Source organism: Homo sapiens, chromosome 3, assembly GCF_000001405.40.
Source record: "Homo sapiens chromosome 3, GRCh38.p14 Primary Assembly".
Classification (NCBI taxonomy): Eukaryota; Metazoa; Chordata; class Mammalia; order Primates; family Hominidae; genus Homo; species Homo sapiens.
Window position 1 is genome coordinate 172,079,866 of NC_000003.12, and position 12,203 is coordinate 172,092,068.

Consider the following 12,203-nt stretch of genomic DNA (forward strand, 5'->3'; position numbering starts at 1 on the left):
TAGCTGTTGATCTGTCAGTCTTGGTAACTGAAACCCTATGAGGCTGCGTAACATCTCAGATGTTCAGCTTCAAATCTGAGATCACAAACAGGGTCCTAAAACAAAAAGTTTGTTAAATGCCCAGTCAAGAAAATGGGGCTACGGAAAAACTCAAAACAGAAAAATAAGGTTTGTCTTACAAAATGTTCATACTGCATTCTTAGACCTAGTTGCTAATGACAATCAGTTACCTGAATTATAAAAAAAAAGGGGTACTACCCAGTTTCATTAATTGCCTTGTATCCAGGGCTTTGAAAGGAGATTGGATATTTCATGAATTGATTTTTGAAACTGAGTGTGGTCCTGCTATTAACCATGTCTTGGGAGTTCCCACCCTTGAAGGCATCTTCTGAAGCTTAGAATTTTTTCTTTCTTTTTTTTTAAGAGACAGAGTCTTGCTTTGTCACTCAGGCTGGGGTGCAGTGGCATGATACTAGCTCACTGCAACCTTGAACTCCTGGGCTCAAGTGATCCTTCTGCCTCAGCCTCCCAAGTAGCTACGGCTGTAAGTATGTATTACCATGCCTGGCTAATTTAAATTTTTTTTTTTTTCTAGAGATGAAGGGTCTTGCTATATTTCCCAGGCTGGTCTTGAACTCCTGGTCTCAGGCAGTCTTCCTGCCTCAGCCTCCCAAAGTGTTGGGATTACAGGTGTGAGGCACTGTACTAGGCCTGAATCGTTGAATTTTTGACTCTAGTCTTGAAGGGATGGAACCTGCCCTTCTAGTGTTGTTTCACTTTGGGATAAAGCCCAAAGGCTCAGAGCTCACCTGTAATCTGGTGGTGGTAGACTGATGTGTGTCCATCATGGGTTCAAAGTTGATATTTACTTAGTAAAAACCTGCCAGGCCTCAGATGGGAGTTAGATGGTGAATCTCCTCTCTGTGTCTGTTAAGGGCACCTCATGTGTTTCATGTAAAATCCTTGTAGAGTAGATTCTCTGAATCCAACTGTTAGATTGTTTCAAGTGTTGGACTCATTTTCCTTATAGTAACTTACTTAGGAATTCATGTAAGTTAAGGACTTCAGCTGCTTACGTTGTTTCCCATTGTTTGGAAATAGTTAATGCACTCTTAAAAATTGATTAACTGACCATCAGTGTGTCATGCTAGTCTAAGATTTTACTTTAACAATTGATATATAGAGATTGAAAGTTGTGATGTAGTAACTCTATTTTCCCTAAGATTCATCTATTCGGTTGACTTTTTTATCCCAGTACTCTCTTCAGGATTGATCATAGGTATTGATTGGCACTAGTGGTTTACAGATGTAAGAACTGAGAGTTAGATTACCTTTTGGATTCTCCCACTTAGCAACTACAGAAATTTGCTTCTGTCTTACTTTACTTCTGTAATCATCACTGTTTTCTCCATTAATCAGAAATGTAACCTTGGTGTCGGTGGCATTTCTTTTGTCTCAGTAGCTCTCTGATTTTTGTTCTCTTTTTTTTCTTTACAGAGCACAAAACTTATTGACATGAGCCTGGAATTTTGAAGTAAGGGCAGTCATGCTAATATTGTGATTTTCCATATTTGTGCTTTGTATGTAAAGTGACTGTTTTTAACATTTTAATTTTAATTATTATGGGTACATAATAGTTGTATATAAAGTGACTCTATTTTGAGTTTTACATTTTACAGGATAAAACCTTAAGATTAATTCCATACATACATTTCAAAATAAGGCATCGACTTGATAGAAAAGTTTTCTTTTTCCTTAGATCGATAATATGCTGAATACACTTTTGGATGCAGAAAATAAAATTCTGAGCAGTATTATAAATTAGAAGATTGAATGGCTCTGTTGGTAAGGTTAGTAACAGGTGACAGATTTGGTATTCATACCTGTTTGTCACTCGTCATACCTTTTGGCAGTTATTCTTCAGAGCAGTTAGATTAGTGCATTAAGCATTTGGTTTTAAGAAATGTGCTTCAAAGTGAAAGGTAGTTAATGCTTACCTAATTGACTAAAAAGAGCTTTTATTTCTTTTAAGGAAAATAATTTCCTCTTGTTTTATATTATCTGGGCACAATGGCTGAGTGAAATTAATTGTTAACTTGAAGCACATTTATTTTCTATGGATGTGAATATTCCCAGAGTACATTTGACACTTTGATAATACTTAATTATGGATTAGGTTCACAATTCTGTGTGATATGTTGAGATGCAAGTCAGGGGAGCCTATTACATTTATAAAAGTTCAGTAAAAAGAAACTCATCATTAAGGTGGCAGGAAATAAGGATATAGTTTTGGCATTTGAATTCTTTTGTGTATATGAATTATTTTCCTCATCAGTCTCATTCATTAATGTGGAGGTCTGACCAATATATGTTTTCATAAACATTTTTTCCTGTCCCCAAATAATGTGAATAAACTTAGCTTTATTCCTGCCTGACCCAGTCATTTACTTTCTATGGACAAATAGTATTCCTTGTTATTTGCAAGGCTGATGTAACGACACAGCTGCTGGATGCTTGGCATTTCTGCTTCTGGTGAAATGCTCTTTGTGCAGATTTATCTGATCCAGATGTGTGACCAGCAAGCTACATTTCTAATTATAAGGACAGCCAAATTCCATTATAAGCACATCATGGGATTATAGGGCCGGGAGTCATCCTGAGAGGACATCTAGTTCATTCTCCAGCCGTTCAGCAGGACCACACTTTGTAACCTACTCCAGCACTGAACGAAGCAGCAAAGAATGTTCCACCCATGTATAGGCTGAACGTGGAATCACTGGAATTGTAACTGGAAAAAGAGACAAGTCCCTCTGGTCTGGCCCTCTTGCTTTGTGGGTAAACAGATTCAGGCCCAGAGAAGTTTGACTTAATGTGGATTTTTATGACTCTTTGCCTAAAACTTACTCTTCTTTTCTCTGAAGTGGTCTGTGCTGAGGGAGTGAAAGGGTAGAAGACTGGATTGGAAATGCCAGTTTCACATCCAGATGTAGCTCTCTACTCATTTAGAAGTAAGAGGTACTGAATTAGTGACAGCTAGATTCCATTGAAGTTTATTAAGTATTTCTGAAACCCAGTATGAAGTACGATATTTCATGTCTGTATATATGTTTGTGTGCCTTAGTGATAAAGTACAAAGGAAACTAGGCATGCTGTTAGGGTTAGAATGTTTGCAAGTGTGGTGTGTAAGCTTACCAAGAACAACATCTCAGAATAAATAAGTGATTATTTAACTTGATTTGATGTTGTTGAGTCTGGGTTTTGATTGTACCCTACTTCAAGTGATAGTTAGCCTGCCACAGTTTCATGGATGCTGGGAGAAGACAAGGGGTTCCTGTACCACAGAAAAAGGACTGTATTACTCCTGACATACCAAATAGTGTAAACTCTTATGCTTAGGGCTTACTGGCATGCCTATGTTGGTTCGTCCTTGCCTCCATGTCCCACAGGGGTGATAAGGATGGAGCGTGCAGATGGAGCTGCACACACTTTGGGTTTGCGTTGCTGCTGAGGAACACTGAACTCGGAGAATCTGCTGCTTTTATAGCATGCAGTAAATGAACTTGCTCTTTGTTCCAAGGGGGAAGATACTACCTCATCTGTCTGTTCACATTGCTCACTGCAAACATAACTTTGAGAAATGGCCTTGATACAAAATGGCAGGATATGTAGAAGCATGAGAGACCTATGGAGGGGTGTCTCAAAACCATCATGTCCTATAATTGGGACAATCAAATAAAACACTTCACTAGCAACTTCACAGAGAATACAAGACATCAGGTAGTTGTTAGGAAGCAAATTCATAATGAAAATGGTAAGTGCTGGATAATTAGAGTGAAGATGGGTAGAAAATATAAAGAACTTGATTTCTTCTGTATATTGACGTCTTCTTACGATTTCAAGATGTGGTCAGATTATAATAAAAAAATACTAAAAGAAATCAGGAATTATAAATCTTGTTTCTACACTGTTAAATCTATTAATCTTTTTGTGAAATGAAAGTATAGTAGCCAGGTGGACCCAGGCATAGGTTTAGCTCTGTTTCTTAACTGCATTGTGACCTTAGTTTATTTTTCTTTTTAATTGTGAAAGTTATTTATATTCTTAGTAAAGGAAATTTTTTTTTTCAGACAATAGAGAGGTATAAAAAAGTAAAAGCCTCTCCTAGAGTTCATGGAGGTTGCCACAGTTCTGTGGCCTTTGGATCAGTCAACATCAGAATGGAAGGGAAACGTTAATGATTTTAGTGGCTACTTGTTACTTCTGAAGGATCAAAGGGCTTGGGACGTTTACAAAGTATTCTGGGCTGGGTGCCGTGGCTCACGTCTTTAATCCCAGTAGCTTGGGAGGCCAAGGTGGGAGGATTGCTTGAGGCCAGGAGTTTGAGACCAGGCTGGACAATGTTGCAAAACCCTGTCTCTACAAAAAAATAAAAAAAATTAGCTGGGCGTGGTGGTGCACGCTTGTAGGCCCAGCTATTCGGGAGGCAGAGGTCGGGGGATCACCTGAACCTGGGAGGTCAAGGCTGTGGTGAGCTGAGATGGTGCCACTGCACTCCAACCTGGTGACAGAGTGAGACCTTGTCTCAAAAAAAAAATATGTATATGTATACACACACACACATACACACACACACACGTATATTCTGAATCTCTGGAAAGATTTATGAGGCAGTATTATGCTTCTACCACTAAAATAGTGTTATTATTTTCACTTTTGTTCACTCAAATATTTAGCTAATGGTTGTCTTCAACGTAAGTTGGGGCTACATAGATCAGGCAACAGTATCTTTATTTTATGGATAACGAAACTGAGACATTCAAGGTTAATTTGTCCAGTTACATGGTTTGGCCGTATTCGGCTTCTTATCTCCTTAGAAAAGATTTTGGCCCCAAATAAAACTTTCATAAAGTAGGAGACTATGTAGTTAGTGCACCTGATTTCAATTACTCTGTTCTGTTTTTTAAAATAGTATGTATCATTTTCTTGCATACTACATAATTTACTTATTATGTTCATTGTTTCTTTCCCCTTACGAGAATGTAAACTTAATGAGAACAAGAATTTTTGCCTTTCTTTTTTTGTCTTGGGCACTGGTGAAGTTTCAATTTCTGGAACAGCATATTAATGCATAGTGGGTTCTCCAGCTCCATAGTAAATTTGGTGATGAAATGAATCAACATGTGGTAAATACGTGGTGCTACAAGGTGATGAGATCATCTCCTTGATCTTAGATTATGTTTTCAGCTTTGAGCAAGTGGTGGGACATCTTGGGATGATACTGCTTACCTCATTTGATTTGATCAATGAGATTGAATTTGTAAAGCTGGGCTTCAGGATATGGCCTACAGATTTTTTTGCGTTTGGTTTTGTAGAGTGTTTTAAAAACTTTGCAAGCAACATTTAAGAACTAAGGGATTTCACGTAAAATAAGATTTCTAGCTTTTTTGGTTTGTTTGTTTTGTTTTTTTCTTTAGAAACTGAAAGATCTGACAACATGGCCTGCATTCCTATATGGTTAGTGAAGGTCTTGAACTAAATAGCAGCTCACTGTTAAGAAAGGGCATTTGCTCTCTAGTTTACCACAGTCCCCCTGACTCTCTGTTAACTCTTGATACCGAAGCTGAGTTGTCAGTTGCTTTTTCCCATCTTTTACATTCTTTAATTTTTAAATATGAAGAAATATTCAGCCATGTTTTTTGAAAGGAAATAAAGGAAAGGTCAACCACTTCACTCATCGACATTGCCTCCATGGCCCTTGTTAGGCAATTGAAACTTGGAGCCCCTTGATGTGTTTATCTAAGACCTCTGCTTCTTTGAGGTCTAGACTTTTTATGATTATGGTTATGATTGCTGATGGTATGCAGAAGAGAAGAGATAGCAATTCAAAGGAATTAACCTCAGTGCTTTGACTGTGGAAGTGGTAGCATGGAATGTGAGTCTGGGGAAAAGTGCTTCCTTTGTTGAACTATTAATGCATAATGGATTCGGATGTTAAAAGTGCATGGCCACATTGCTTGTTTCTCAGATACAGTATTAGAAGGGCTCTATAGGTGTATACATAGTCTCTATTCTAGAGAGCTTTTATTTTTCTGTTTGTAAAGGTGGCAAAAATTGCAAAAGATTTAAAAAATATTACTTGTAAAAAGTGATATTTCATCCAGGAGAAATGAATGCTTGAGATTTGTTGTCTAAGACCTAAACAATTAAGCTCTGGGCCAGGCATGGTGGTTCACACCTGTATTCCCAGCACTTTAGGAGACTGAGGTAGGAGGATCACTTGAGGCCAGAAGTTTGAGACTGGCCTGGGCAACATAAAGAGATGACGTGTCTACAATAAATTAAAAATTAGCTGGGTATGGTGGCACACACCTGTAGTCCCAGCTACTTGGGAGGCTAAGGTAGGAGGTTTGCTTGAGCTCAGGAGGTAGAGGCTGTAGTGAGCCATGATCCTGCCACTGCACTTCAGCCTGGATGACAGAGCAAGACCTGATCTTTAAAAAAAAAAAAGCTCTGCTTCCCTTTTAATATAAAGAACAAATGGCATATGCTTCCAAGGGTACATTGGAAAATTGGCAATTTCAAGCCATGTTTAATGTGGAAATGTGACTTGTGTTTTGTTATTATATGGATAAATTAGATTGTACAATTAGTCCTTTAGACTCATGAATTGCCTATTTGATTATGTGACTCTTTATGTAAAAATTGGCCTAAGTTCTTATTTAAAGGAACTATGTAAGTGAAATGCTAATAACATTTCTTATTTTCATATAATCTTTATAAAATTGGGATTTCACATAATCTCATTAGGAGAATTGAAAAGAATTAAGTTGTTAGATCAGAGTTATCCAAAAGGCATTCTCTAGTGAACATTAGATCTTAAAAAGTTTGTGTGTTCAAAAACGTTCGGCCTTGGGGAGATTCTCAGTGTATATTAAAAGTTCTTTGAAGTGTAGTGTTAAAGAACTTCTAGCTCTTCAACTCAGAGTTTCTCAAGCTTGATGGAAGTTTTCTACAGAAGATGTATTAGCATGTAGCAGAGTATTTTTCCTGTGTCACATACCTTAGAAATTTTCACCTGGATAGATTTATTAAAGAACAGACACCACAGGTGGTGAGTTCCTGGCTTCACATGGTTTCTTGCTTTTCCTCACTTTTACCAGAGTTTATAGTTCCATTTCTTCCAAGCCACTCCCGGAGATGGAAGGAAGTGGCATGCTCAAAACAGTGTAGAATCCAAACGGAATGAGAAGGATAATTTTGAGTCATCTTTCTTTTGTTTAGAAAATAAATATACCTTTTTTGAAAAGAATTGATTTCCTATTTTTAGGTAATGTACTTCTAGTTAAGGCGCATAACTTACCTTGCCTATATTATAAACTATCAGCTTGACCGAAGCCATCTTTTTCTTCTGCTGTTGGTCTTTTAGAGACTTGCTGTTATTCACATAGATAATACTTGTTTTCTCTGTGAGCCGTACTACTTGCCAGGTTTGGGACTTCTCACATAGAGGCTGATGTAATAGGGAAAGACAGTGGGATAATTAACATTTTGGAATTTGATAAGTAAGAATGAGTGCATATGTGTGTGGGCGTTAAAAGAGCTTATAACTTGGTTAGATTTCCTTTGTAAACTTAGGTGGAAAATATGCTTAGAAATTTGAAGTGATTTGAGAAGCAAGAGACCTTATCCTGCCATTAATCAGTGGTGTGACCTCTGAAAAATAAGGGATGGAATAGATAATCTCAGAGGTGCTGCTGATTAAAAAAAATTTTTTTTTCAAATTTCATTGCAAATTTTAAATCCTGATGTTGCATTTTTAAAACTTGTATAGGTTGTAACATGCTGGAAATGAAATCAAACCCTCACTGGGGAAAAATTAATGCTGATGTACAAATATGATTTGGAATCTTTGGTATTTGCCAGGGGCTATAAGAATTCAATGCTTCTCCATTTGTGATCTTTCTGTAGCACGTGAAGGCTGATTGAGAATTTGAGAGCCCTAGCTCTAGATCTCCAAATAATTGGAGATCTCTAAATAGTTAGAAATATGCAAGAGAAGATAGTCCACATTAGCAAGAGATGAGAATGTAGTATATACCACTTTGGTTCATGTATCTTGAAGCTTTTATCATTCGTCACCTCAGCCATTCGTTTTTTTCAGAGTAAGTCATATGCTTAGAACCAGGAAATTGCCTGCCACATCTTGTTCCTGGAAAAGCTGACAGCCTAAAAATGCTTATCATTCAAGGTGTGACCTAAATGAGTGTTGTACAGCTATTGTAATTTTTCTATAAAGTTATGTGGCTAAACAAGGTACTTTCTAGGGAAAATTTCTTCCAAGTAGGCCTTTATTTACAACTTGAATCCTAAATTAGCAAAACCGCTGTACTGGTACCACAGAAGTTCATATTAGAAGGGAATTTGCAGGTAGTCTAGTCCAACCTTTTTATGTTGCAAATAAATGTAGACTGAGAAACCTAACTCCTGCAGCTAGCATACATAACAGAACTGAAACCCAAATCTCCAGATGGCCACCACGGTCATCTTTCCTCAGTATCATGTGGGTTTCAGTCAGTGTCTCTCGTGCTAGAATGAATCCCATGTAAAGTATGTTTTAAATTAAATGTAATGCCCATACATCAAATCACACAAGTCTGTACCTTCGTAATTATATTTTGAAATGCAATTGATTTGCTGAATATAAATGTTTGAAATGTTTTGTACATAGCTATTACATTTCTTTAAACTGTATTTTATAAGATGTATATTTCAATGACAATACTTATCCTACAAAAGAGAATGGTTTCATAAATTGATTTAAAAGTAGGTGCCAGTGTTACACTTATAAATAAAAAGATAAATTTTACATAGTGAAATCTAAAAAAGAAATGCAATTGATCATTTAAAAACCACATTTTAAATAAATTCTACAAAAGGTAGCCATTATGATTTTATGATTACTTGTGTTGACAGTATTCTCCTGTGGAATGTGTGATGCTTAAAATGATTAGCTTGTACAAAAGCTATAACAATAGTAATATTTTTACTCATTTATTCAACTGTAAGATTTTAAAATTTACAGACAATAGCCAAATAATATTCAGGGTTCTGTTTTAAGTGATAAATTAGCTTTCTACGGGACAAAAAAGGCATTGACAAGAGCACTGACTTGTCATGGTATTGAATTTCACAGAATTAGTTTTGGATAAATGGGATTTTCAATGTCCTGTGAGCTCTCAAAATTCATAGTGAGCAACTAATACCCATAGGACAAAGTAAAATTTAGTTCACAAATTATTAATTATTTAATTTGCAAAGTAAAAGTAAAAATTAGTTCAGCACAAATTATTATTACTTTACTAATTCTTGTTTCCAAATTAAATATTTGAATCAAGAGTGTAGGAAAACATCTTTTAAAATGTGTGTTATAGGGGTACAGTATAAAACTAGGGGCAGGATATTTTACCATAGGATTTTCTTAAACCCTAGAAAAAAACAGTAAGAATTCATTAGGGATGAGGAAATTTCCTTAGTGAATGTTGGAAACAGGATGCAATGTGGCACAGCTGTCCGCAGAGGTTTGGAGGATTTCCCTGGGAAGATCAGTACTGAGTCATCAGTTGATCGAAGGTAGGGGACGGCACAACACATACCATGCACAAATCGAATGTAGGGTGTATTAAGCCCTCAGCAGTATGAAGATTTTAAATTATTGGGTGGGTACAAAAGTAATTATGATTTTTGCCATTAATATAATTTCAGTCATAGCACTATCTTAATATCTCTGACAGAAGACTCTTGGAACATTAAAAAAATCAAGATTCTAATAAGGCTGTCTTGTGAAGATCAAGGCATGGAGGTTTGAAAATCTCAGTGTCGATTCATTATCTAAAAATCTCTTGAATAGCTCAATTACAAAGTCAGCCATAAGTGGAAAACTATGTATCTAGGGTCTGCACCGTGCCGGCTGCATAAGATACCGAGTAAATGTTTGAACAACTGAGGGAATGAATTCCCAGGTCGGCCATCTCAACTTTTTACAACGTTAATGACAAATATGATTTCGACATATATAATTCATTTGTATCAGTGTTTTGGGTGTGATATCTGTCAGTTGTGATGGCTGTTATATGAGTTGAACAGTTGTGTTTAATCCTGATATGTAAATTGTTAGATACTGCTTTAAAATTTTTAAAATTAGTCTATTCCGAATTTCCAGATATTAATATTATCTCTGAAATGTTGAGTGAATTAGAAGTGGAAGCCAGAGACTTTGTCTTTTTCTCTACAACTCGTCCAACTTCAAACGTGCCTCCTTTTTTCTGCTACTGTTGTTACTGAGAAAACTTGAGCAGGCAGGTCCTTGGTGCTTTTTTCTAACCAGTGGATGGCAAATATGTGATGCACATCTCCTAGCTCCTTAATCCCATGACCTTGACAGCCATCTCTAATTATCACTGAGCGGGGGCAGTGAATCTTTCTCAACTCTGCACTCTAGGCAGGTACCAAAGTCAATTGGAGTGGGCATGTGAGAGGAAACCTAGGGCTGTGACCAAAAATAAACAAACAAACAAACAAACAAACAAACAGGGAGCTGGAGAAGGACTTGTGCTTAGGAACACAGAAATAGTTCTTGGTGAGAACAGAATAATCCAAGTTTCCTGCTTCTCCAGAGCAGTATTCTTAATCACTTTCCTTGCTCATGGAGTGGGATAGGGTTGTGAAAATGAACTGAAATGGCACCCTTTCAGTTTTTTCCTGTTACTTAGGATCCAGCTCACAAAACTAAATTATTCTTTACCTTGTGTGATCCGGGTACTGAAGATAATACAGATTGAGTATCTGCAATTTGAAAATCCAAAATGCTCCAAAATCTGAAACTTTTTGAGTGCCAACAGGATGCCACAGTGGAAAATTCCACACCCAACCTTGTGTGACTGGTTGCAGCCAAAACTTTGTTTCATGTATAATATTATTTAAAATATTGTATAAAATTATCTTCAGGTTATGTGTATAAGGGTGTATGTGAAACAGAAATTTCATGTTTAGACTTGGGTCCCATCCCCAAGATACCTGTATATGATACTTTGTATTATGTATATGCAGATATTCCAAAATCTGAAAATTCAGATCTGAAATCTGAAACACCTAGGGTCCCAAGCATTTCAGGTGAGGAATACTGAACCTATATAACTACTTTTCATCCCAGTAATTTCTTCATTGCCTATGAAGAGTTTAGGAAATAAGTAAAACAAGGACGGGCTTGGGGAAGTGGAGGGAAGGAGTAGAATATAATAAAACTCTTCTGAAGTATTTGGGAAAATATTTTTTAAGTAACTGTTATAGATACAAGTATGTCTTATCTGTTAAGTACAGAGGATTTCCACCTGTCAGTGCTGTTGAAAGTTTTAGCTGCCTTTAAATTTCTTGTTGCAAATGCTTCTTTTCATACATTTAGATGGGCCTTTTTTCTTCAATTAAGTTGAATTACCAAGGTTTTGCTCTATCTATGTAATTTTAAAATGTGAATAGAGGCAGTACATATGGAAGAAAAGGTAGATATTTTCCCTTAATTTGCAGATGTATGAAAAAATATGATTAGAAATTACAGAAGTCAGAATTTTAAAAATAGATTTAGAGATGAGCATTGTAGTATCAAGCACTTTGTAGTTTCCTAGTGTTCTGAAAAGTGTGTGTGCGTTTGTGTATGTGTGTATGCATGCATGCATGTTTGTGTATATTTGCTTTGGAGCATCTTAATTTTAGCTTTAGGAAGTAACTTTGTCACTGCAGTTGCTAAACATATAAGAATACGTATTCATATCTGTTAAATATGGTGCAAAAATTATCTTCAAAAGTTGGCTTTTATTTGTAGGAAATACCTCTTAACACACATTTTCATGTGGAATTTGTATTTAGTCATCTTGACAAGAGTAGTCACTAAAGAGAAATGGTCAAAATTGTGTAGCTTCTAGTAATATTACTCACAGTGCCCTGACTTTACTGGGGTGTGTGTGTGTGTGTGTGTGTGTGTGTGTGTGTGTTAGGGAGGTGAGGGGGTAGGGGAGTGCTGTAACAGATGGCTTTAGATTGCCTCAAATAGGGTTGTAAATTTGACTATAAGATGAGTCAGTTTTCTGTGTTCATTTCATGACCATGCATGGCACCTCTAACCTTAAGTTTCTCTCAAATGCTGTCATAAA

General features: G+C 36.5%; 1 protein-coding gene across 10 annotated transcripts in view; it reads left to right on the plus strand.

Annotated features, from left to right (window-relative positions):
- FNDC3B (fibronectin type III domain containing 3B) overlaps nt 1-12,203 on the plus strand; it is a 362,092-nt gene that overhangs the window by 40,288 nt on the left and 309,601 nt on the right. For 4 of the 10 annotated variants that reach the window (XM_024453717.2, XM_047448756.1, XM_047448754.1 and 1 more), the window contains exon 2: nt 1,498-1,534. The exons of the other annotated variants lie outside the window; for them this stretch is intronic. The gene's annotated coding sequence lies outside the window, so the exon portion shown is untranslated. The remainder of the gene's footprint in view (nt 1-1,497; nt 1,535-12,203) is intronic. 10 annotated transcript variants of the gene reach the window in all.